The 26,878-nt window shown below is 37.6% G+C and overlaps 1 protein-coding gene and 1 pseudogene across 27 annotated transcripts in view; one reads left to right on the top strand and one right to left on the bottom strand.

The window, feature by feature from the left end:
• ODAD2 (outer dynein arm docking complex subunit 2) overlaps nt 1-26,878 on the top strand; it is a 187,508-nt gene that overhangs the window by 91,461 nt on the left and 69,169 nt on the right. For all 27 annotated transcript variants that reach the window (XM_047425404.1, XM_024448052.2, XM_047425414.1 and 24 more), the window contains one exon: nt 438-552. In XM_047425404.1, coding sequence (XP_047281360.1) covers nt 438-552 — 115 coding nt within the window. The remainder of the gene's footprint in view (nt 1-437; nt 553-26,878) is intronic.
• RPL36AP55 (ribosomal protein L36a pseudogene 55) lies at nt 3,014-3,213 on the bottom strand (annotated as a pseudogene).

The raw sequence follows: 26,878 nt of genomic DNA, 5'->3' as shown, positions 1-26,878 counted from the left end.
ATTTAAAATATGTCATACGGTAAGGTAAGTCAATTAAACATAGACCAAATAAAAAAGGTAACTGCACAGTTTTGAGGCATAAATATTTGTTTTGGAAAGTATTTAAATGTTACTATATGAAAGAAACCCGTATTTTTACATTTAGGTAACAGGTCTGTGTACAGCTAATTAAAAAATTACATGGCTTGATTTTCAGTTTATGTGAATCGTAATCATCAAGCAGCTTGTTTTCTGTGTCATGGATTTAAAACTGAAATCAGAGGGCTGACAATTCAACAGCATGTTATCTCCCTACTGTTGATGAAGTTTTGCAAAAAAAAAAAAAATTCTAAGCAAAATATCAAAAGGAGAAAAAATAATTAAATAAGTGGGTCATTAAAATGTTTGTCTTCACATACTAATGACAGTTTATATCATGATTTTGGGTTCCACGATAGGATAATTGATCGCTTAGATGGAGTTCGTTTGTTGTGGTCCCTGCTGAAAAATCCTCACCCAGACGTGAAGGCCAGCGCAGCATGGGCACTCTGTCCATGCATCAAAAATGCAAAGGTAAGAACGGACTGCAAGTCAGTCTCTTCTAGAATCTCTAATACTATACTGAAAAATGCCACCACAGGTTACTAATTGCTTTTGACTTATTGTAAGTCAGATTTATCTGGTGGGAGAGGGTTGCACAATGTTTATGCCAAAATAATTTCGGAGCATTGCTTTTTTTCTGGTCAGTTTTAAAATGCAAAGCAAAACTAGCCAAAGATGTCAGTGCTTGCCAAATTCTAGCTGATTGGTGCAATGGAAGCAAGCATCCCAGGTAAATCAGAGTGAGGACAAGTTGACTGTTCTTGTCTCTTGAGGGATAAGAAATTTGTCTGCATTTACCTGCTATCCAGAGAGAGTGCAGCCATGGGGGAGACATGACTGCTTCTATTGTCCTTACAGCCTGCAGTGAGAGAGCACTACGTTCTGTGTTGCTTTGAAAAGGTCACATGATTTCAATGACTCTCACTTTTCTTATCTGTCACTAAAAACAGGAGACCAGAAGTTTCTGAAATCGATTTTAGCCCTTGATTTGTAAATTTTGTTATTTTCTTTGAAGATCACTTTTGAGCCTATTTCTCTTAACATTTTTTCTATAGGTTTAGAGATTGCCCTTTAAGATCCTTGTTGCTGAAGTTATTTCTGCCTGTTGAATTTTTTTTTAAATTATACTCTAAGTTCTGGGATACATGTGCAGAACGTGCAGGTTTGTTACATAGGTATACACATGCCATGGTGGCTTGCTCCACCCATCAACCCGTCATCTACATTAGGTATTTCTCCTAATGCTATTCCTCCCCTAGTCCCGCACCCCCTGACAGGCCCCGATGTGTGATGTTCCCCTCCCTGTGTCCATGTGTTCTCATTGTTCAACTCCCGCTTATGAATGAGAACATGCGGTGTTTGGTTTTTTGTTCCTGTATTAGTTTGCTGAGAATGATGGTTTCCAGCTTCATCCATGTCCCTGCAAAGGACATGAACTCATTCGTTTTTATGGCTGCATAGTATTCCATGGTGTATAAATGCCACCTTTTCTTTATCCAGTCTATCATTGATGGGTGTTTTGGTTGGTTCCAAGTCTTTGCTATTGTGAATAGTGCTGCAATAAACATATACGTGTGCATGTGTCTTTATAGTAGAATGATTTATAATCCTTTGGGTATATACCCAATAATGGGATTGGCAGGTAAAATGGTATTCGTGGTTCTAGATCCTTGAGGAACCGCCACACTGTCTTCCACAATGGTAGAACTAATTTACACTCCCACCAACAGTGTAAAAGCATTCCTATTTCTCCACATCCTCTCCAGCATCTGTTGTTTCCTGACTTTTTAGTGATTGCCATTCTAACTGGTGTGAGATGGTGTCTCATTGTGGTTTTGATTTGCATGTCTCTAATGACCAGTGATGATGAGCTTTTTTTCATACGTTTGTTGGTCGCATAAATGTCTTCTTTTGAGAAGTGTCTTTTCATATCTTTTGCCCACTTTTTGATGGAGTTGTTTTTTCTTATAAATTTGTTTAAGTCCCTTGTAGATTCTGGATATCAGCCCTTTGTCAGATTGATAGATTGCAAAAATTTTTCCCATTCTGTAGGTTGCCTGTTCACTCTGATGATAGTTTCTTTTGCTGTGCAGAGCTTTTTAGTTTAATTCAATCCCATTTGTCAATTCTGGCTTTTGTTGCCATTGCTTTTGGTGTTTTAGTCATGAAATCTTAGCCCATTCCTATGTCCTGAATGGTATTGCCTACGTTTTCTTCCAGGGTTTTTATGGTTTTAGGTCTTACATTTAAGTCTTTAATCCATCTTGAGTTAATTTTTGTATAAGGTGTAAGGAAGAGGTCCAGTTTCAGTTTTCTGCATATAGCTAGCCAGTTTTCCCAACACCACTTATTAAATAGGGAATCCTTTCCCCATTGCTTGTTTTTGTCAGGTTTGTCAAAGATCAGATGGTTGTAGATGTGTGGCATTATTTCTGAGGCCTCTGTTCTGTTCCATTGGTCTATATATCTGTTTTGGTACCAGTACCATGCTGTTTTAGTTACTGTAGCCTTGTAGTATAGTTTGAAGTCAGGTAGTGTGATGCCTCCAGCCTTGTTCTTTTTGCTTAAGATTGTCTTGGCTATACAGGCTCTTTTTTGGTTCCATATGAAATTTAAAGTAGTTTTTTGTAATTCTGTGAAGAATGCCAGTGGTAGCTTGATAGGGATAGCATTTAATCTATAAATTACTTTGGGCAGTATGGCCATTTTCATGATATTGTTTCTTCCTATCCATGGGCATGGAATATTTTTCCATTTGTTTGTGTCCTCTCTTATTTCCTTGAGCAGTGGTTTGTAGTTCTCCTTGAAGAGGTCCTTCACATCCCTTGTAAGTTGTATTCCTAGGTATTTTTTTTCACCCACAAAAAAGGATTTATTTACAGTGTAAAATTTATCATACATTTCTTTTTTTTGAACTGAAAATAACCTCGAGATTTTATTGTCTTCATAATAAAACAAAAGATGAAATTTAGAACTGAATCACTTGGCCCTTTCTCTTCTTATCTCCTCCTAGTTCAAAATGCTTGCATGTCCTCATATCCAGCATCGTCTTAGATCTGCAGCTGGGCTCAGCGCTCAAGCCTCAGCACCATCTCCTTTGTAGTTTTAGCCTTTTTATTGGAAAATTGGCTTACTTACAGAAATCAATGGCCTTGATAAACACAAACAATATTTATGTTAAAGGACTTAAGAAAAACCCATGTATAATAGCAACAAAGAAGCATCCCTTTTGTGTTTTGAGTGGGAAGACATCCCTTGTTTTTGGCTATCACAGCTCATCATCAAGATGCCCATTCCCTCCAAGTTGATTTATAAATTGAATGCCATTCCCATAAAAATGCCAACAAGCTTTGTTTCATGGAGTTGGTAAGTTGATACTAAAGCTTCTATGGAAAATAAACATGTCGGAATAGCCAGGGAAAAACTGGCACAAAATGGGCTAGCCCTATGGGCTATTAAAACAAACCATAAAGCCTCTGTATTTAGAACAGTGTGGCATTGGCCATGTGAACAGGCAGACAGACCAATGGAATAGGATAGAAAGTACAGAATAGACCTAAGTACAAATGGGAATTTAGTATATGATAAAAGTGGCAAGTCAAATCTCAGAGGCAGTGATGGACTTTTTATATTTATTTATTTATATTTTTTATTTATTGAGATGGAGTCTCGCTCTGTCGCCCAGGTTGGAGTGCAGTGGCGTGATCTCAGCTCACTGTAACCTCCACCTGCTGGGCTTAAGCAATTCTCATGCCTCAGCCTCCTGAGTACTCAGCCCAAGATTCCCGCTCTGCTTCCTGCCATGACGCCATGTTCCCCGCGCATACACAGCATCCTTGCCTTTCTTGTCCTGTGCCACTTTGTGGGGTTGGTGCTTGCCACACTTCTTACAGAAAGTCTGGAAGGCTTTAGGAATGTGCACCACATTGCAGGAGCCCTATCACGTGGAAAGCTATTGTTAATTTCTAAGTCATTTATGCTTACAGAGCTGATAGGAGCTAAACTAAGGTGTGGGTCATTCTGTATGAGGGAACAGTTTGGGGAGTAGTCAACATAGTGGTCAGAAGAGTTTTTTAAAACTCCAAACCTCAGATTGTTGTCTGCATATACCCTTTTTGGCAACAGGTAGTCCTTATTTGGAGAAAACATAGATTGTATTATCTTGAGAAGGTCTAAAGGGAACCCCAGAGGGGAGGAAGAGGAGATACAGGAAGTCTTTCTGGTTGGGACAGTGGTCTCCCTGGTTGGTGGACACCCTTGTCTTGGTGTGACCATAGAACTCATGGAAATGACAGGCAGCCTGTGACACCAGCTTTTCAGAGGAGAAGGGTTTCTTGCATGTATTGGTGGGGCCTCAGCTGTATCTAATAGGAGGTACCGCACTGGAGGCCTCAGATGGCCCTATTCCTAGGTATTTTATTCTCTTTGTAGCAATTGTGAATGAGAGTTCACTCATGATTTGGCTCTCTCTTTGTCTATTATTGGTGTATAGGAATGCTTATGACTTTTGCACATTGATTTTGTATCCTGAGACTTTGCTGAAGTTGGTTATCAGCTTAAGGAGATTTTCGGCTGAGACGATGGGTTTTCTAAATATACAATCATGCCATCTGCAAACAAAGACAATTTGACTTCCTCTCTTCCTATTTGAATACTCTTTATTGCTTTCTCTTGCCTGATTGCCCCGGCCAGAACTTCCAATACTATATTGAATAGCAGTGGTGAGAGAGGGCATCCTTGTCTTGTGCTGGTTTTCAAAGGGAATGCTTACAGCTTTTGCCCATTCAGTATGATATTGGCTGTGGGTTTGTCATAAACAGTTCTTATTATTTTGAGATACATTCCATCAATAATTAGTTTATTGAGAGTTTTTAGCATGAATGAGTGTTGAATTTTATGGAAGGCCTTTTCTGCATCTATTGAGATAATCATGTGGTTTTTGTCACTGGTTCTGTTTATGTGATGGATTACGTTTATTGATTTGCATATGTTGAACCAGCCTTGCATCCCAGGGATGAAGCTGACTTGATCGTGTTGGGTAAGCTTTTTGATGTGCTGCTGGATTCGGTTTGCCAGTATTTTATTGAGGATTTTCGCATCGATGTTCATCAGGGACATTGGCTTGACATTTTCTTTTTTTTGTTGTGTCTCTGCCAGGTTTTGGTATGGGGATGATGCTGGTCTCATAAAATGAGTAAGGGAGGAGTCCCTCTTTTTCTGTTGCTTGGAATGGTTTCAGAAGGAATGGTCCCAGCTCCTCTTTGTACCTCTGGTAGAATTCTGCTGTGAGTCCATCTGATCCTGGGCTTTTTTTGGTTGGTGGGCTATTAATTACTGCCTCAATTTCAGAACTTGTTATTGGTCTATTCAGTGATTTGATTTCTTCCTGGTTTAGACTTGGGAGGGTGTATGTGTCCAGGAATTTATCCATTTCTTCTCGATTTTCTAGTTTATTTGTGTAAAGGTTTTTATAGCATTCTCTGATGGTAGTTTGTATTTCTGTGGGATCAGTGGTGATCTCCCCTGTATCATTTTTTATTGTGTCTATTTGATTCTTCTCTCTTTTCTTTTTTATTAGTCTTGCTAGCAGTCTATTTATTTTGTTAATGTTTTCAAAAAACCAGCTCCTGGATTCATTGATTTTTTGAAGAGTTTTTCCTGTCTCTATCACCTTCAGTTCTGCTCTGATCTTAGTTATTTCTTGTCTTCTGCTAGCTTTTGAGTTTATTTGCTCTTGCTTATCTAGTTCTTATAATTGTGATGTTAGGGTGTCGATTTTAGATCTTTTCTTGTGGGCATTTAGTGCTATAAATTTCCCTCTAAACACTGCTTTAGCTATTTCCCATAGATTCTGGTACGCTGTGTCATTGTTCTCATCGATTTCAAAGAACTTATTTATTTCTGCCTTAATTTCGTTATTTACCCAGTAGTCATTCAGGAGCAGGTTGTTCAGTTTCCATTTAGTTGTGTGGTTTTGAGAGAGTTTCTTAATCCTGAGTTCCAATTTGATTGCACTGTGGTCCGAGAGACTGTTTGTTATCATTTCTGTTCTTTTGCATTTGCTAGGGAGTGTTTTACTTCCAATTCTGTGGTCAATTTTAGAATAAGTGTGATGTGGTGCTGAGAAGAATGTATATTCTGTTGATCTGGGGTGGAGAGTTATGTAGATGTCTATTAGGTTCGCTTGTTCCAGAGCTGAGTTCAAGTCCCGAATATCCTTGTTAATTTTCTGTCTCGTTGATCTAATACTGACAGTGGGTGTTAAAGTCTCCCAGTATTATTATGTTGGAGTATAAGTCTCTTTGTAGGTCTCCAAGAATTGTTTTATGAATCTGGGTGCTCCTGTACTGGGTGCATATATATTTAGGTCAGTTAGCTCTTCTTGTTGCATTGATCCCTTTACCATTATGCAATGCCCTTTTTTGTCTTTTTTGATCTTTGTTGGTTTAAAGTCTGTTTTATCAGAGACTAGGATTGCAACCCCTGCTTTTTTTGCTTTCCATTTGCTTGGTAAAGATTCCTCTATTCCTTTATTTTGAGCCTATGTCTGTCTTTGCACGTAAGATGGGTCTCCTGAATACAGCACACCGGTGGGTCTTGATCTTTATCCAATTTGCCAATCTATGTCTTTTAATTGGGGCATTTAGCCCATTTACATTTAAGGTTAATATTATTATGTGTGAATTTGATCCTGTGATTTTGATGCTAGCTGGTTATTTTGCCCATTAGTTGATATAGTTTCTTCATAGTGTTGATGGTCTTTACAATTTGGTATGTTTTTGCAGTGGCTGGTCCCGGTTTTTCCTTTCCAAATTTAGTGCTTCCTTCAGGAGCTCTCATAAGGCAGTCCTAGTGGTGACAAAATCTCACAGCATTTGATTGTCTGTAAAGGATTTTATTTCTCCTTCGCTTATGAAGCTTAGTTTGGCTGGATATGAAACTCTGGGTTGAAAATTCTTTTCTTTAAGAATGTTGAATATTGGCCCCCACTCTCTTTTGGCTTGTAGAGTTTTTGCAGAGAGATCCACTGTTAGTCTGATGGGCTTCCCTTTGTGGGTAACCCAACATTTCTCTCTGGCTGCCTTAAGATTTTTTCCTCCATTTCAATCTTGCTGAATCTGATGATTATGTGTCTTGGGGTTGTTCTTCTCGAGGAGTATCTTTGTGGTGTTCTCTGTATTTCCTGAATTTGAATGTTGGCCTGTCTTGCTAGGTTGGGGAAGTTCTGCTGGATAATATCCTGCAGAGTGTTTTCCAAGTTGGTTCCATTCTCCCTGTCACTTTCAGGTACACCAATCAAAAGTAGGTTTGGTCTTTTCACATAGTCCCATATTTCTTGGAGGCTTCATTCGTTCCTTTTCATTCTTTTTTCTCTAATCTTGTCTTCATGCTTTATTTCACTAAGATGACCTTCAATATCTGATAACCTTTCTTCCGCCTGATCGATTCAGCTATTGGTACTTGTGTATGCTTCACGAAGTTCTTTTGCCGTGTTTTTCAGCTCCATCAGGTCATTTCTGTTCTTCTCTAAAGTGATTATTCTAGTTAGCAATTTCTCTAACCTGTTTTTCAAGGTTCTTTGCTTCCTTGCCTTGGGTTAGAACATGCTCCTTTAGCTCAGACGAGTTTGTTATTACTCACCTTCTGAAGCCTACTTCTGTCAATTCGTCAAACTCATTCTTCCAGTTTTGTTCCTTTGCTGGTGAGGAGTTATGATCCTTTGGAGAAGAGATGTTCTGGTTTTTGGAATTTTCAGCCTTTTTGTGCTGGTTTTTCCCCATCTTTGTGGATTTATCTACCTTTGGTCTTTGAGGTTGGTGACCTTCAGATGGGGATTTTTTGTGGACGTCCTTTTTGTTGATGTTGATGCTATTCCTTTCTGTTTGTTAGTTTTCCTTCTAACAGTCAGGACTCTCTGCTGCAGGTCTGCTGGAGTTTGCTGGAGTCCCACTCCAGATCCTGTTTGCCTGGGTATCATGAGCGGAGGCTGCAGAACAGCAAAGATTGCTGCCTGTTCCTTCCTCTGGAAGCTTTGTCCTAGAGGGGCACCTGCCAAATGCCAGCCAGAGCTCTCCTATATAAGGTGTCTGTCCACCCCTGCTGGGAGGTGTCTCCCAGTCAGGAGGCACTGGGGTCAGAGACCGACTTGAGGAGGCAGTCTGTCCCTTAGCAGAGCTTGAGTGCTGTGCTGAGAGATCCACTGCTCTCTTCAGAGCCAGCAGACAGGAATGTTTAAGTTAGATGAAGCTGTGCCCACTGCCACCCCTTCCCCCAGGTGTTCTGTCCCAGGGAGATGGGAGTTTTATGTATAAGCTCCTGACTGGAGCTGCTTCCTTTCTTTCAGAGATGCCCTGCCCAGAGAGGAGGAATCTAGAGAGGCAGTCTGTCTACAGTGGCTTTGCGGAGCTGTGGTGGGCTCCGCCCAGTTCGAACTTCCTGGAGGCTTTGTTTACACTGTGAGGGGAAAACCACCTACTCAAGCCTCAGTAATGGCAGACTCCCCTCCCCCACCAAGCTTGAGCATGCCAGGTCGACTTTGGACTGCTATGCTCACAGCGAGAATTTCAAGCCAGTGGATCTTAGCTTGCTGGGCTCCGTGGGAGTGGGATCTGCTGAGCTAGACCACTTGGCTCCCTGGCTTCAGCCTCCTTTCCAGGAGTGTGAACAGTTCTGTCTCGCTGGCATTCCGGGCACCACTGGGGTATGAAAAAAACACTCCTGCAGCTAGCTGGGTGTCTGCTGAAATGGCCCCCCAGTTTTGTGCTTGAAACCCATGGCTTTGGTGGTGTGGGCGCCTGAGGGAATCTCCTGGTCTGCGGGTTGCAAAGACCGTGGGAAAAGTGTAGTATCTGGGCCAGAGTATACTGTTCCTCATGGCACAGTCCCACACTCCCCCTTCCCTTGGCTAGGGGAGGGATTTCACTGATCCCTTGTGCTTCCCAAGTGAGGTGACGCCCCAGTCTGCTTCTGCTTGCCCTCCGTGGGCTGTACCCACTGTCTAACAAGTCCCAATGAGATGAGATGGGTACCTCAATTGGAAATGCAGAAATCACCCACTTTCTGTGTCGATCTCACTGGGAGCTGCAGACCAGAGCTGTTCCTATTTGGCCATCTTGCCTAGGTCTTGTTGAATATTTTTATATAAAGGATAGTTCTACAATAAATTTAACTTGACTCTAAATGTCATCCTAAATATAATATTTTTTAAAAAGCGAATTGTAATGTGTGTTTGGAATAGAGGAGACCTATTATAAACCCATTAATGGAATCATTTGTTATCACAGCCAAAAAATTAAAAAGATCTCAAATCCTTACTGGAATCACACTATGTTATACATTGCAGCAGTGAAAAATCAATGTATTTTGGCAATGTATTCGTCAATATCAATACATATCACAAATATGTTGAACAAAATAAAAACTTGCAGAAATAGATATATAATATAATTCCTATTAAAGTTCAAATATATTTTTTAAAGTGCCAAATTTAAATAATATTGTTTACAGGGAAAGAAATAAGCCAACTGGGGAAAGATTGATACAAATCCTTGAAGGATAATCTTAATCAGTCACTTTAACTAATCAGTCCAGTCCTTCATTCATAAATTTAAACAAAGATCACTATATATTTAAGGAATACTAACCATGTTAAAGACACACACCCACATGAACTAGCAGAACTGACTTCAGAAGAAACAGAGATAATGTAAGGAATGAAATAATTTTAAAATTAATATTCTCAGAAACACCTAAGGGTTCACATAAACTGTTATTAAAAATTCATAGGCTTAAAACTGTTTTTTTTGGAAATTGAAGATATATTTGGCAAAACCACAAATTTAGTAGAGAGGATGAATACTAAGATGAATATGGCTAAATAATCATAACTAATATAATAATAACTAAAGTCCTTTCCCTTTCCTAAAAAAGGATGTTATAGATACTGATTAACTGTCAATGGTCATTGAAAATCTATATTTAAATGTCAAATTTAATATTATCATTGGTGAGTTGCCATTTTGATAGATATTATTTCTGCTTAGTGCTATTATTATATGTAAAGTGTGTTCTGTCTTCTTATGAATTTCAACTCCAAATCTAATTATCTATTATTGGGCTTAAAAGATTTTTCAGTATTTTCATATTCATTATTCTCACATGGGCTTTCTTTCCTGAATATCTGGCTGGTCTCGTATGCAAGCAGCCTAAAACATGACCCAGCCCACCTCTCTCTTTGCTCTTGGCCCCAAGGTCTAAACTAGATCCTAGGCTACTGAAAGAGCTTCTTCCTGTTCCATTTCTCTTGAACTTCACCTACCCTCTGAATACTCCCTGCCTCCAGCCCTCTTCTTGTCTTAAAGGAAAGACAGCCTCCTGAAAAAGATCTCTGCTTGATCACATCTCTCACCAGGAACTGCCCTCTCTTGTATGCATTTATCATTGCGGCAACACGAACATTTGAAGAATCGTCAACAAGAAAGTGACATGAGCCACATGGCTAATTAGAAAATAAACCATGTAAGAATGGGTGACAAATTGGGCTATTACAGTAGTTCAGATGAAAATGATTAAAATTTGACCTAACACCATGGCAGTGTGGATGGAGAGAAGAGACAATATAAGAAAGAATTGAAAAGTAGAATCAGGAATTGGTGAGTGATTGGATGTTTGAATTTTGGATTTTTTTTCTTTAATGTTGACAGCTAGGAACATGATAGAATTTTTACCAAACATGGGAATAACATCGTCTGAGGAAAAGATGATGGAGTTGCCTTCCTCCAGGTAGAGATGTCCAGTCATTTGAATACACGAATCTGGATGTCAGGAGAGAATTCTGGATGGAGATATATGAGTAGGGCTCATTAGCCTTTAGGAGGTAGTGGAGGTCTGAGTGTAGGTGGAAGGGAGAAGGACTGGAGTGAGAGGAGACCACCAATGACAGAGTGAAGTAAAGAAAGAAGGCAGGCGGGTGGGAAGGGGATGGGAAAACCAGGAGAACTTGATTACAAAAAAGCCAAGAAAGGAGAGAAATCAAGAGGGAGGGAGAATGTTCAACAGTATTATTTACCCCTAAGAAGACAATTTCCCTTGAAAAGTGAAAAGAGTACATTAAGTACAGGAATTAGGCGGTCGTGGTTGTAGCCATTTCCACTGAGAGGCGAGAGTTTAAGTTGGATGGCACTGGAGCGAGAAATGAATTGAGGGGAGGAAATAGAGGAAAAAAGGATTCATAGTTTTTTCTAGAAGCTCAGCTATTAAGAGAAGGAGGCTAGTATGAAATCCAGAAGATAGCTCAGGTTTAAGAAGTGATAAACATGGAAGAGGCATGTGTGTGTGATTTTGTGCATGTATCTATATATCTATATCTATATACATATATCTACGTATCTAGAAAGAGTACACATACACAAGCACAGATGGAGAAAAAAAGACAGGCCTGGCTCTCACTGTTCCTTAATCCTATAAACACATTGCTCTGAGTACTGTAAAAGATTTCTAGAGCACCAAGCAAAAGGATGGTTCTAGAATGCCTAATTCCTGAGGGCAAGTCCAGGAAGAACAAAACCAGAAGAGCAAGAATAGAAAGGAATACTGAAAGAGGCACCTCCTTATTTTATCCAGGCAACAAACGCATGGCCTGCTTATCTATCTCTCTATCTTTCAATCAATCATCCATCTATTACCTATCAATCTATGTACTTGAATTTGAATATTGCCTACCCATTGATATCTTTGAATTTCAATCCAGAAGTGAGAAAGTTATCAAAGGGATCCTAATTAATACCTTGATATGAATTTAAAAAATCAAAGTCAGACTTTTCCTAGCAGATTACTAATTTGGCTGATTATTTCAACAATGAGCACTGGCTTTTATGATTAGGTAATAAGGAAGATATTTCCATTTATTGAATTAACTAAATATGCAGGGACAAAATTTCATTGACGTGTATAATATCAGAAAGTAAATCTTTGTGGCTAAATTCATGATGAACATTTTTAGATGTCAATTCAAAAGAGATGAAGAAGATACACAGCTTTTCAAAAGTGCATTGGGATATGTGAGCAAAATGTTGAAGACACTTGTCTAGTGAACGCTTGAAATGAGAGAGAGGGAAATTTAAAGCATCTTTCCTTAAGAAAGTGGCCTGATTTGCAAGGCTGTTTCTTCTTAAAAGGTCCTATTTTTCAGGGTCAGAAGCTGAATATTATATTTGTCTCCCACCTTGCGTCCTTCTACAACAAATCACATTCTTCCAAGGCAGAAGGGTACTTCAGGAGTAGAATATGACAGAGGTCATGTGCTCAGAAAGGCAAGAGGAAAGAAAGCACATTTATACTGTTTAATAATAGCATCTCATTATTTACACAGATCTGAATCAAACCATGGTTAGGGCAACTCTATTAATAGCACTTTGCGTGATGATGAAAAGGTATTGTTCAGATACGGCAACTACTAGCCACATGTGGCTATTCAGTGCTTGGAATGTGACTAGTAGGGCCAAATAACTGAATTTTGAGTTATATGCAGTTTTAATTAAAGTTTAGGTCAGGTGTGGTGGCTCATGTCTATAATCCCAGCACTTTGGGAGGCCGAGGCGGGTGAATAGCTGGAAGCCAGGGGTTCAAGACCCAGCCTGGCCAACATGGCAAAACCCCATCTCTACTAAAAATACAAAAATTAGCTAGGCTTGGTGGCGCATGCCTGTAATCCCAGCTACTTGGGAGGCACAAGAATCATTTGAACCCAGGAGGCTGCAGTTGTAGTGAGCAAAGATTGCTCCAGTGCACTGGGTGACAGAGCTAGACTCCATCTCAAATAGGAAATAAAAATATAAAAGTATAAATAGTTACATGTAGTTAGCGGCTATCGTTTTGGTGCCCAGGTCTGAGATATGCAAGTAAGACAGAGTTGTTTTTGTAAGCCATCTGCTATGAAAAGTTGTAAACCTCAAGAATTAAATGAGTTTGTGTGTGCTTACATGTTCATTATATAAGTTTTAGAAACTAAAGAAAAGCAAATTAAAAAAATCACCTGTAATTTTAGCACTTGGGGATAACTGATATTAAGAGCTAACAGTTTTTTTTTTTTTTCGTACCGATGACTAGTGAGTCTCTCTCTAATTCTCTCTGTATGTCTTTCCATATGCCTGTCTAATTTTCTTTGGCTATATAGTATTATATTGTATGGATATATCATAATTCATTTACATAATTAAGTTTCCAGTGTTAAGGAACAGTGAGGTTGAGTGAAACAAAAATTTCATTTGAAGCCGGGCAAAGTGGCTCACACCTGTGACCCCAGAACTTGAGAGGCCAAGTGGGGAGGATTGCTTCAACTCAGGATTTTGAGGTCAGCTGGGGGAGCATAGGGAGACTCCTCTACAACAATTTTTTTTTTTTTTAATGCACATGCCTGTAGTCCCAGCTACTCTGGAGACTGAGGTGGGAGGATTGCTTGAGCCTGGGAGGTTGAGGCTTCAGTGAGGCGTGATTGCGCCACTGCACTCAAGCCTGGGCAACAAAGCAAGACCCTGTCTCAAAAAAAATTTCTTTTAAGCCTTTCTAGAATGTTCTTTCACACAGGGAGAGAAAATAGTTACTGCTGACCCTTTGGTAAAAATTTTAGCATAGCTCCCCATATATTTGTTTTATCAGTAACTTTATATCATAGGTTAATCAGTGGTGATTTTCTTGGTGGTACATAAAATAATAGTTTATTTTACGATCAACTGCCTTTTGGATTAGTGGGAAATAATATGACCAAAGATACATGTAAATGTATATCCGTGGAGGTTATGTGTACTTGGAATTTTTTTGAGGTCTCATGTTGTATTTATATCACTATCCAAAACTTTCCCCACTTGGTTATATTGAATTTAGCATTTTCAATGAATATTTTGTAAGTTCTATGATTTTTAGATGGATTAAACTTGTTTTCTAATAAGATTATTTATGTATTTATTTACTTATTTATTTAAATATTTATTTTTTAGAGATGGTGTCTCACTCTTGGCCCAGGCTGGATCACAGTGGCACATTTGCACACTGCAATGTCAATCTCCTGGGCTCAAGCAATCCTGCTGCCTCAGCCTCCAGAGTAGTTAGGACTCCAGGCCTGAGCCACCATGCCTGGCTAACTTTTTCAGATCAAGATAGGGTCTTGCTCTGTTGCCCAGGATGATCTCAAACTCCAGGCTCCAGGTGATCCACCCACCTCGGCCTCCCAAAGCACTGGGATTACAGGCCTGAGTCACCACACCTGGCCTTCTAATAAGGTTATAAATTCTGAGGGACAGTAGGGATGGGAAATGTTTTTTGAATATGCTGGGGCATCCAGCTTGCAATAAAACAGTGGAACTAGAAGAAGAGATCATACCAAATAGTATAGCCCTTTCTTTCTCCCCGTCACTGCCCCTGTCCTATTTAGGTAAGTTAATGGCTCAGCTTTCTAGGAAAGAATTGCCTTTTATTTTGTACGGAAGCATTTCTACATTGTTTTCAACTACAATGCTTTTGCAAGTAACTTTAGACTTATTAACTTATGAGTCATAGGATTTGGCATCACTTTGAAATAACGTCTTTGTTTGGATTAATGGCACTGACAGTAATGCTGCAAAAACCAGCCATTGTTAATTATAGCTGAGAGCCACATGAAAGGGAAGAAAGCACCAGCTACGCCTTTAGACAAGCTGTTGCTACTTCAGGGCCCCTACCACGTCTGTCAGGCGTCATGAAACCTAAGTTCACCATGTATATGTGTGTCCCTGTGGTGTGGACATGGTGAAATGTCAACTGTTCAAACCAGATGTTATCCGTTTTTTTATATTGTTATACACATTAGAACACATTTTCAGATGTATGTGTTAAGAAAATAAGATGTGAATATTGCTTCTAGTGAATGTAGAACATCTTTTCTTTATTTCTTTTCTCTTTTCTTTTACTTTTCTTTCTTTCTTTTCTTCTTCTTTTTTTTTGAGAAGGAGTCTGGCTCTGTCGCCCAGGTTGGAGGGCAGTAGTGTGATCTTGGCTCACTGCAACCTCTGCCTCCTGGGTTCAAGCGATTCTCCTGCCTCAGCCTCCCGAGTAGCTGGGATTACAGGAATGGACAAGCATGCAGCCCCATGCCTGGCTAATTTTTGTACTTTTAGTAGAGACAGGGTTTTGCCATGTTGGTCAGGCTGGTCTCAAACTCCTGACCACAAGTGATCTGCTCGCCTCGGCCTCCCAAAGTGCTGGGATTACAGGCGTGAGTTACCACACCCGGCCGTAGTACATCTTTTCTTGTTGGAAACATTTAAAGCTACCTATCAGTGATTGAGCCAGGCAACGAAGTAGCAGAATCAAAGACTTCAGTAATGAATTACAGGATAATTGAGAGAAATAAAGATTCACAGTGTAAGTTGACATTGCTTTTGTGTTATAATTATTTTGTTATTAAATGCATAAAACAAATGGAATGTGGGATTTTTGTAATAAGAAGTATTGACCTTTTTGTTGGTAGACTAGTGTTTCAGTTAAGTTTAAAACTTCATTTTGGAGAAAGCAAGTATGTAATAGTTATTGATAGCTTATTGGTGATAAATAAAATGTACTAGGTGAAACAGATATGTTTTTCCAGCTTAAAAATTATCGGTCCATTCATTATCTGATAGGAAAATCGGAGTGTGAAATGAGAGTCTGTTTTACAAAGATCACTTTGTAAACCTCGAAATAATTTAAGACAGGAAATAAGCATCTTCACTTAGAAAGCCGCACGGTCTTTTTTAGTCTATCAAGAACCCAAGAACAGAAGGTCAAACTAAAGTGAACTAGTCATAAAAAATAATCTGCATATTTTTAAAGAAGTTTTATTTGAACATTTACCATTTAAGATCTTTTCTGTGTTATGTCTAAGAAAAGTTCTTTTTTCCTATTAAGATTGCTAAAAAGGACAGAGATCCTAAGATTCGACCTCTGTAGTGATGTTATGTGTAAATTTCAAGAGCTGTAAGTCTGATTCAACTAATAACTGCTTTGTGAAAAATGTGAGAGATTTGTAAATAGAAGTGTAAAACTGTTTCTTTCAAGCTGAACGATCAAACACATTTTTGGAGAAAAAGGGTAGTTGAACAGGTGTTCAGTATTATGAAGTTGTGATGTAAAGAATGCAACTGAATCTGGTAAAAGTCCATATATTAAATTCTTTGTTCTTAAGAAGCAAAACTGTCTGCTGCAGAAAGTCTACTCAAATTTGTGCTCCGTGAACATTAAGATACTGAAAATATGAAAATTTATATAAAAATTTAATTGTGTCGTATCACACGATTATTTTCATGCCTTTTGCCAACATTTGTAAGAAACATTTTTTCTTAAATATCAGTGCATTTTTAATATTATTTGTTTTGTGAATATCGCAAGATAGTGCTTAATTTCCTTAATTCTGCTTCCTTTCATTAATGAGTTTTTAAAAGTTTTTATTAAGAAAAAAAAGATGTTCAACTATATTTGCATTTTCATAAGAAGTAATAGTATAATTCATATTAATGTATCATCACCATTTCCTTATGAATTAGATAGAAAACAGGTATTCTTATCTTAGAATAAATACTCTGAATGTATAATAAGTCAGTTGTTGGGTTAGGAAGAAAACTCAATATGTCTTCCAAATCAGTAATATATATCCATGAGATCATTTGGCCTTGTAACCTTCCTAAACTTAATTTTGCTACTTGTTTAGACAATGTCTGGTTTTGATCTTGAAGGAAAAAAAAAAAACAAAAAACTCTAGTAATTTGAAAACCAGTGACCTAAAGTTCTGCTCCAAACTGAGAAGCCAGTCAGGAATTTGAGAATGATTCCCCAAAAGAGAAGAGAAGTTAATTTCTGTGAGGTTGGGATACATGCTTGGGTAATTTAGCCAGGAATGTTGAGGACTGAGTATGGATGAGGCCAGTTTCCTGACCACAGGTGTGACAGAACACAGCTGATCAAACAGGACAGGAATTTGACATCACCCTCTGTTTAACTTCAGCTGCCCAACGGTCCATGCCCAATCAGGGAGCCAATGAGAACTTTGAGAAGAAGGCTTGTGGAGGGGTTTAGTTTCATGCTAGGAATATTGCTATAAACACAAGCTCTGATTTAGCCATGTTTGGGCTGTCGAATATATCGCTGTATGACATGGTGCCAAATAATCAACTTTTTTTTCTAAATCCAAAACGTCTTTAAAATGTAATCTGCATTTGGGTTCTGCCTCCCTGTTTGGGGTCAGTTGTCATTTTCAGTCACCAAATAGTTCTAAGTATGCACCCATCTGGCCCCCAGATCCTAAAATCCTAAAAGATTAGAGTAACGAATGATAATACAAGTTTTTTTTTTTTTTAAATATATATATACCAGATTTTCAAGTGGGGACATAAGGGGTCCAAACAAAAGTGAGGGCCTTAAAAAGCCTGTCTTCAGAGCACAGCCGAAAGAATCACTGGCCATAGCTCAAATCTATCACTTTCCTTTCTCCTCCCTATCTCTCCACTACTGCCCTCCCATTCCCTACTCCACAGAGGGCTGCAATAGAGGCTGCTAGTCTACAAAGGGATGAAATTGACAGAAGAGTAACACAGTGTACAAAATGGTAACTTACAACGAAAAGCATTGCCTATTCTAAACAGGGATATATAGAATTGTGTACCAGCCACTAGCTATTCATGAAACCACTTAACCACTTAATTTTGAAAGCACAGTTGGTTATCAGTTTTCAGTTACTTATTAAATTAATAACTTCATCTATTAAATTATGTCATTATATTCACCTCAGCCAAGAGTGCCCAGCATCAAACAATGCATGCTGTCGTGATCAGATCAGAAACTGTGCCATGTCAAAATTCATTGACTCAGACACCTGACTGGGACCCCAGATGGCCTCTTCTTCCAGTTCACTTGCTTAAGCACTCCCATTGCACTGTGACCCCATCAGGCTCCCTGCCCATTGACCTCACTGTTTTTTCCATCCACCAGCCTTTTGCTATCTTCGGTTCCCTCATTGCACACATTTGTTCCATGATCTATCATTGTACTTGCTCCATTTTTTTGATTATGCATTTTTTATTTGTATAAATTGGGTACAAGTGCAGTTTTGTTCCATGGATATATTGCATAGCACTCACTGCATTTCAAATACCCTCAAGTCCATATACTCTCTTTCTTTCCATGGTACCTGCCTAATGAACTCCCAACCCTGGAAAGAGCATTTATCCATCTTGTCCATGACTGTAGTCTGGCTGGTGAATGTTGCAGGAGAAACTCATGTAATTGGGCCAGTTACCATTATTATCAACATGAGATCACCAATCTCAAATTGGCCAACAAAACTGAGGTCACGGGGCTGCTTAACCGTGAGACTGTTCTACTGTGAGAATGCATAATTGCAGAGCTGCAACATCATTGAGTACACAGGGCTGGGAGACTTGAAGTCCATGGGAGTGTCCATGTGTGAAACTGTGAGATCAGAATGTGGGACAGTGGGACTGAGGGACAGCACACCAAAATGTGGGACTGCAGAGACTTTGAGGTTGTGGAGCTTCAACACCACCAGTAGAGACCCATGAGATCATAAGACTAAGAGACAGTGGAATTCAGAAATCCCTCTCCATTTTCCAGCCTGGCCACCCAGCTTTCTTACTGAGCAAAATTCCTGTGTGAGAGAATCACTTACGATGATTATATCTGTGCTTAGGAATTATTCTGATGTCAAATTTGATATGCTGTGTCCATCAAAGTGTGGCTGTTTTCTCTTCTTTCATCTTCTTTCAGGCAGACTGTCCTTTTCCAGCATGCCCGCTTTTCTACCCAACAAGCCCCTGCTTTAGCAACTACCCCGAGTGTGAAATCTTCCTTATCCCTTGCTCAGTTTCTGGTCAGAAGGTTGGGTCCAACTTGATCTCTCTAGGCACACAGCTTCATATAAGAAGCAGCCACAGGCAACCTTTAGTAGTAATGTTTTTCTATCTCCTTTCATGTGGAAGCCCCTTTGTATAACTGTTTTCAAGAAGTGAACTAGATTTGGCACCCTTGCCTGAAACACTTTTGTTTTATTGTCCTGTAAAATCTAAACTAAATGCTGCTTTGTCTGTTTCTGGACCTAAACTCAACATGCTTAGAACTTCAGCTACATTGTGCTTTGGATGTTTTCTTCTAAAAGTTTTATAGTTTCAGGTCTTATGGTTAGGTCTTTAATCCATTTTGAGTTACATTTTTGCATATGGTGTAAGGTAGGAATTCAAATGTAATCTTTTGCATGTGAACATCCAACACCATTTGTTTTCCCAACAACATTTTTGAAAAGACTTTCCCCATTGAATAGTTTTGACACCCTTGTTGAAAGTCTTTTTAAAAATTTTTTATTTGTATAAATTTAAGGGGTACTGTACAGTTTTGTTATGTGGATATATTGTGGGCACAAACTCAAAAATAGACAAATGAGAATTAATTAAATTAAAAAGCTTTTACACAGCCAAAGTAATAATTAACGGAATAAATAGACAAACCTACAGAATGAGAGAAAATATTTGCAAAGTACATATCCGACAAGGGACTAATATCTAGATTCTACAAGGAACTCAAACAACTCAACAACAAAATAATCCCATTAAAAAGAGGGCAAAGAACATGAATAGACATTTTTCAAAAGAAGACGTACAAATAGCCAACAGGAATATGAAAAACTGCTCAATATCACCAATCATCAGAGAAATGCAAATAAAAACCACAGTGAGATATCATCTTACTCCATTCAGGATGGCTATTATTAAAAAGTAAAACAAACAAAAACAATGTATGTTGGCAAGGGTGAGGAGAAAAGGGAACACTTATACACTGTTGGTGGGAATGTAAATTAGTGTAACTTCTATAGAAAACTGTATGGAGATTTCTCAAAGAACTAAAAATAGAACTACCATTTGATCTGGCAATACCACTACTGGGTATCTACCCAAAGGGAAGAAATTGCCATATCAAAAAGATACATGTACTTGTATGTTTATCACAGCACTATTTCACAATAGCAAAGATACAGAATCACCTTAAGTGTCCTTTTCTTCGTTGGGAGGCTTTTTATTATTGTTTAAGTCTCCTTACTCATTACTGATCTGTTCAGATTTTCTGTTTCTTCATGATTCAGTCTTGGTAGGTTGTTTGTTTCTAGAAATTTGTCTATTTCATCTAGGTTATCCAACTTGTTGGTGTACAACTGTTCATACTATTCTCTTACAATCTTTTCTATTTCTAATTTTAGTTATTTGGGTCTTCCCACTTTTTTAAAATCTAATTTAAAGTCTGAATTTTTTTATCTTTTTGAGTAACCAACTCTTGCTTTCATTGATTTTATGTGTTGTTTTTCTAGTTTTGTGTGATTTCTTCTTTGACACACTGGTTGCTTACAAGTGTGTTGTTTAATTTCCACATATTTGTGAATTTTCCACTTTTCCTTCTGCTGCAAATTTCTATTTTTATTCCATTGTGTTCAGAAGAGATACTTTATATGACTTCAATATTTTTTATTTTTAAAGACTTGTTTTGCGGCTTCATATATGGTCTATCCTGGAGAACGTTTATTGTACACTTGAGAAAAATGAGTATTCTGCTGTTGTTAGGTGGGGTGTTTTGTATGTGTCCATTAGGTACAGTTGGTCTATAGTGTTTTGAAGTCTTCTATTTCCTTATTTATGTTCTCTCTAGTTGTTCAATGCATGATGGGAAATGGGATATTGAAGTTGCCTATTTTTCCCTTCAACTCTGTCAATGTTTGCTTCATTTATTTCAGAACTTTCATGTTTGGTGCATGTATGTTTGTAATTATTACATCCTCTTGAATTGACCTTTATATATCCTTCCTTGTGTCTTGCAACAATTTTTGATTTAAGGCTATTTTGTCTGTTATTGGTATGGACAATCTTGCTCTCTTTTAATTACTATTTGCATGGAATGTCCTATTTCAACGTTTGACTTTCAACCTATGTGTATCCTTAAATCTAAAATGATGCTCTTGTAAATAATATATTGTAGAATTGTTTTTTTAAAATCCATTTTGCCAATGTATTTTGATTAGGGACTTTATTCCATTTACATTTAAAGTATAGGAAAGCACTTATTTTTGCTGTTTTGTGCTTTGTTTTCTGTATGTTTTATAGCCTTTTATTCCTCATTTTCTTCATTACTGCTTTTCTTTGTGCTTAGTTGATCTTTTTATAGTGACACATTTTGATATCCTTTTGTGTATATTTTATGGTTATTTTCTTTGTGGTTACTAACATGGAGCTTACATCTACCATTCTAAAGTTATAACAATCTCTCTTAAATTGATAGTAACTTCATTTCAATTGTATACAACTCCACTTTTCTCTCCACCCACACACTACGTTATGAATGCCACAAATAACATCTTTATATATTGCATACTCATTGACATGCATAATTTTTATGCATTTGTCTTTTAAATCCTGTAGAAAATAAAAAGTGGAGTTACAAAATTACTGTAATACTGTTATTTTTATTTGTTCATCTATTTATTTTTACCAAAGAACTTTATATTTTTGTATGGCTTCAAGTTACTGTGTAGAATCCTTTTATTTCAACTTGTAGGACTCTCTTTTGCATCTCTTGTGTGACAAGTCTAGTAATAAATCCTTCAACTTGTTTCTCTAGGTTAGTCTAATTTTTTCTTCATTCTTGAAAGACAGTTTTGATCAATATCGAATGTTCAGTTTATAGTTTTATTATCATTTTAAATATGTAATCTCACTGTCTTTTGGCCTGCAAAGCTTCTCTGGAGAAATCTACTGATATGTATATTGTTGAGATCCCTTGTACATGACATGTTGCTTTTTTTTTTCACTTTCAAGAACCTGTCTTTGTCTTTCAACAACTAGGGGATGTGGTGTCTTGGTGTGATTATCTTTTTGTTTGTCCTACTTCGAATTGTTTGAATTATTGGATTTGTATATCTATCTCTTTCCTTAAATTTGGGACATTTTTGGTCATTATTACTTTAAATAATTTTCCTGTCCTTTTCTCACATTCTTTTTGTTTGTTGTTTTGGTTTTTGCTTTCCAGACTTGATAATTTCAAATGACCTGTGTTCATGTTCACTGACTTCTTCTTCTGCTGTTATATCCTATAGTGAATTTTTCAATTTAGTTATTGTATTTTTCAGTTCCAGAATTTGTTTGGATATATATAAAAATATATATATATTTTTATATATAAATATATATATCCAAACAAATATATATTTTTATATATAAATATATATATCCAAACAAATATATATATTTATATATTATATATAATATATATTTTATATATATTATATATAATATATATTTTATATAATATATATAAAATATATATTATATATAACATAATATATTTTATATATAATATATAATATATATTTTATATATATTATATATTATATATTATATATATTTTATATATAATATATTATATATAATATATATAATATATATTTTATATATTTATATTTATATATATTTTATATATATATTTATATTTATATATTTATATATATATATATTTATATTTATATATTTATATATATATATATTTTTTTTTTTTTTTTTTTTTTTTTGAGATGGAGTCTCACTCTGTCACCCAGCCTGAAGTGCAGTGGTGAGATCTTGGCTCACTGCAACCTCCACCTCCCAGGTTCAAGCCGTTCTCCTGCCTCAGCCTCCCACGTAGCTGGGATTACAGGCACATGCCACCATGCCTGGCTAATTATTGTATTTTTAGTAGAGACAGGGTTTCACCACGTTGGCCAGGATGGTTTCGATCTCTTGATCTCGTGATCTGCCCACCTCGACCTCCCAAAGTGCTGGGATTACAGGTGTGAGCCACCATGCCAGGCCTATTTTTTCTGTCTCCTTGTTTATATTCTCATTTTGTTTATATATAATTTTCCTTATTTATTTTAATTATTTGTGTTTTTCTTTAGTTCCTTCAATATACTTAAGACAGTTGTTTTAACATCTTTGTCTAGTAAGTCTGATGTATTTTCTTTTTTCAGTTTTGGGAGATTTGTTCCCTTACATAAGCCATGCTTTCCTGTTTCTTCGTATGTCTTCAGATCTTCTGTTGAAAACTGGGCATTTAAAGAAACAGCCACTTCTCTCAGTTTTTGCAGACCAGCTCGGAAGACCTTCACTAATTAACAAGTTTCTGAGCCTGGGATCATCCCAGAGTAAAAGCAGAAGGTCTTCTTGGGTCTTTTCTGAGCATTCATCCTACCTGAGCCTGTATGTATGCTTTTAATTTTTTTCCCCCATATACATGGCTGTTCTTAAATGCCTTAATTTTCCAAAGAGGCTCACCCCAGCTTCTTCTTGGGATCTTAGGCATTCAGTTGTACTTCTGTGCCTGTAATCTCTTGCCCCCAGGTGTCTGTGAGTCTGCAGTCTCCCTGAAGTTTTCCTAGGCCACAGTATCTACCCTTGCTTTTCATAGCTTCTGCTAGCTGAAATCTAGACTCTGCCATGGTGTTCTGTCTGAGCTCTGAGTCAGATAAAACAGAAACCAGTCCCTCAAGTAGCCCACAGATAGGCCAAAACATGGCAAGCAACTTCCACTTTGGTCCTTCCGGCTGAAGGAAGGAAATAAGACTTAAAGTAATGCCTCCTGACTGCCCCATGCTGTGCCAGAGAAGGGGTGGAGAAAGTGCAAATAAAAGTGCCAGGAAATTTTATGTTTCAAGTGTGGGTTTTTTGTGGTTTGGCATTTTCTTTAGATATCTGAGCTGATTTTCAAAGCTTTTATAAAATTGAGTCAGTCTGTAGTTGTTTATTTAATGTTTCCATAGGAGAATGAGGGTTTGGAGCTTCCAAGTTCACCATCTTGGTAACATCTCTACACTTTCTGATGAAAAGTCAGCTGTTGAGCTTAATGAGGTTCCCTTGTTTGAGTCATTTTCTCTTGCAACTTTCAAGATTCTTTGTCTTTCAATAGTTTCACTGTGATGTGCCTAACTGGGGATCTCTTTGAGTATATTCTACATAAAATTCATTAAGATACTTGCATATGTAAAGTTTCTCATCAAATTTGGAGAACTTTTGGCCATTATTTTTTCAAATATCCTTTCTGCCTCTTTCTCTTCTCTTTCTCCTTTTTTCTAGAATGCTCATATGTGTATGTTGGCATACTTGATGATGTCCCCCAGGTCTCTGAAGCTATGCTTATGTTACTTCATTTATTTCTTCTGCCTGTTCACATTGGATAATCTGAATTGACCCATCTATCATGCTCACTGAGTGTCTCTTCTGCCTGCTCAAATCTGCTGTTAAGCCCATCTAATGAATTTTTCATTTCAGTTATTGTACTTTCAACTAAACTGAAGAAATTCAACTCCAGAATTTCTATTTAATTTTTAACACAATTTAATTCTCTTTATTGATGCACACTACTTCCTGAAAAGTTTTTCTCAAACTTTTTTGGGGCATAGTTTCCTTTAGTTTCGCAAATATGTTTATAATAACTGATTTTCAAGTTTTTCTAATAAGGCCAACATTATACAAGCTTCTTGAGGGTCAGAATCTCTTGAATGCTTTTTCCTCTGGTGCATACTTTGAGGCATACTTTTCTCCTTTGTTGTATGTATCACATTTTTTGTTAAAAGCAATATTTTAAATAATTAAATATGAAAATCCTAGAAGTCAGACTCTCCCCTTCCCGTGGCCTGTATTTGTTGCTGTTTGTTGTTGCTTTTGCTATTGTTTATTTTGTTATTAACTATCTTGGGCTAATTCTGTAAAATATGCATTTTTTGTCATGCATGACTCCAGAGGTTTCTACTCAGCTTATTGGTCAACAAATGAGTTGACAGATATTTCCTTAAATGCCTTGCACTCTTAAGTCTGCCACCCTGTGATAAGGGTTCTGTGTGCATTAATATTACTACAGTTTACAACTCTCAGACTTCACTTCTGCTTGTATAGAACCTCAAGGTCAGCCAGCGGTGAGAAACTAAGGCCTTCTGAGATCTTTTCTGAGCATGCACAGAACCTGACACATGTATGTAGCCTTTTAGATTCCCAGGAATGTGTTGTTTTTCAAATCTCTGTACACACTTCTCACTTCTAAGATTTTTCTTTTAATTTTTTTGACCAGCCTCTTATTTACTGCAACTGGTATGCTTATCTCAAGCAGCTTTTTTTTTTGTTAAATAATTGCCACTGATTTTGTATAACAAACACTCTAGGGATAAGACTTTACTTACTGTGTGAAGTCTTAGGTCAAGTAAAGACAAGGCTTGTGATTGGTGCTTTTCCTAGGAATTGCCATACAGGCAGTTTTTAGAATGGAGCTTTTGTGGGGCTCCAAACCTATTCTGTCCCTCCTATGGTTTGTAGGCTGCAGATTTCCCCAGATTCCGCGGTTGCAAGGTTGCTGATCTTCAAGGCTACTGTGGAGCTGGAGAGAGGGAGATTGGAATAGAGAAAGTTAAAATACCACAAAGCTCACTTTTCTTACTGAGATTCAGGCATTTTTCTTGAATAGATGCTGTTTGTTGCAAGCCTTTTATTAAATTTGAGAGTTCTAGAAAATGTTGATTTTACCACTTTTTGCCTGTGTTCTTTTTGTTATGGAGGATAAGATTTTTGGAGGTCACTATTCCACCATTTCAGACATGCTTCCCCTCTGTTTATTCTTAAACTTAAACATATGCACTTGTTGACACTATGCTATAATTTTGGAGGTAACAGCAACACATTTTAGAAATTATCCAGATAGGTAATCCTCTACCCTGGCTACACATTAAAATAAACTTCAGAGCTTAAAAAAAAATTTTATTCCAGAATCCTATCCCTGTTCAGTAAATCTTATTGAGAATGAGATCAGAGAGTTCATATTTCTTTCTTTCTTTCTTTCTTTCTTTCTTTCTTTCTTTCTTTCTTTCTTTCTTTCTTTCTTTTTTTTTATGACAAGGTCTCACTCTGTCACCCAGGCTGGAGTGCTATGGGGAATTGTGGCTCAATGCAACCTCTGTCTCCTGGGCTCAAGTGATCCTCCCACCTCAGCCTCCTGAGTAGCTGGGACTGCAGGCACATGCCACCATGCCCAGCTAGTGTTTTTTGTACTTTCAGGAGAGAAAGGGTTTCACCATGTTGTCGAGTCTGGTCTCGAACTTCTGGGCTCAAGCAATCTGCCCACTTCAACCTCCCGAAAGGATTACAGGTGTGAGCCACCATGCCCAGTTTGAGCATTCATATTTCTAAGAAATCACCCCAAGTAATTATAATGTGAAACCAGGGCTGAGAATCACTAATCAAGGTTTTATTTATCTTTGAATCTCACAATGTACAACACATAGTACCTTATATTTCTGAGGCTCCTAATTTACCAAATGAATTAATGAATAAAAGTGGTTTTAGTTATATAAACATAGAATTATTATCTAATAATAGTCAAGGATGTATTTTTGCCGGCTCATTCTTTTCAGTGTTTTTTTGAGACGGGATTTTGCTCTGTTGCCCAGGTTGGAGTGCAATGGTGTGATTATAGCTCACTGCAGCCTCAAACTCCTGGGCTCAAGTGATCCTCTCACCTCAGCCTCCCAAGTAAGTGGGACTACAGGTGCGTGCCACTATGCCCAGTTAATTTTTAATTTTTTTTTTTTTGTAGAAGCAGAAGTCTTGCTATGTTGCCCAGGCTGGTCTCAATTCTCCCACCTTGGCCTCCCAATGTGCTGGGATTGTAGGCATAAGCCACCACTCCTGGCCTTCTTTGGGTTTTAAAGTGGCATTGAATA

Source organism: Homo sapiens, chromosome 10 (assembly GCF_000001405.40).
Source record: "Homo sapiens chromosome 10, GRCh38.p14 Primary Assembly".
Classification (NCBI taxonomy): Eukaryota; Metazoa; Chordata; class Mammalia; order Primates; family Hominidae; genus Homo; species Homo sapiens.
The sequence above is the reverse complement of the archived record's forward strand: the minus strand, read 5'-3'. Positions and strand labels throughout refer to the sequence as shown.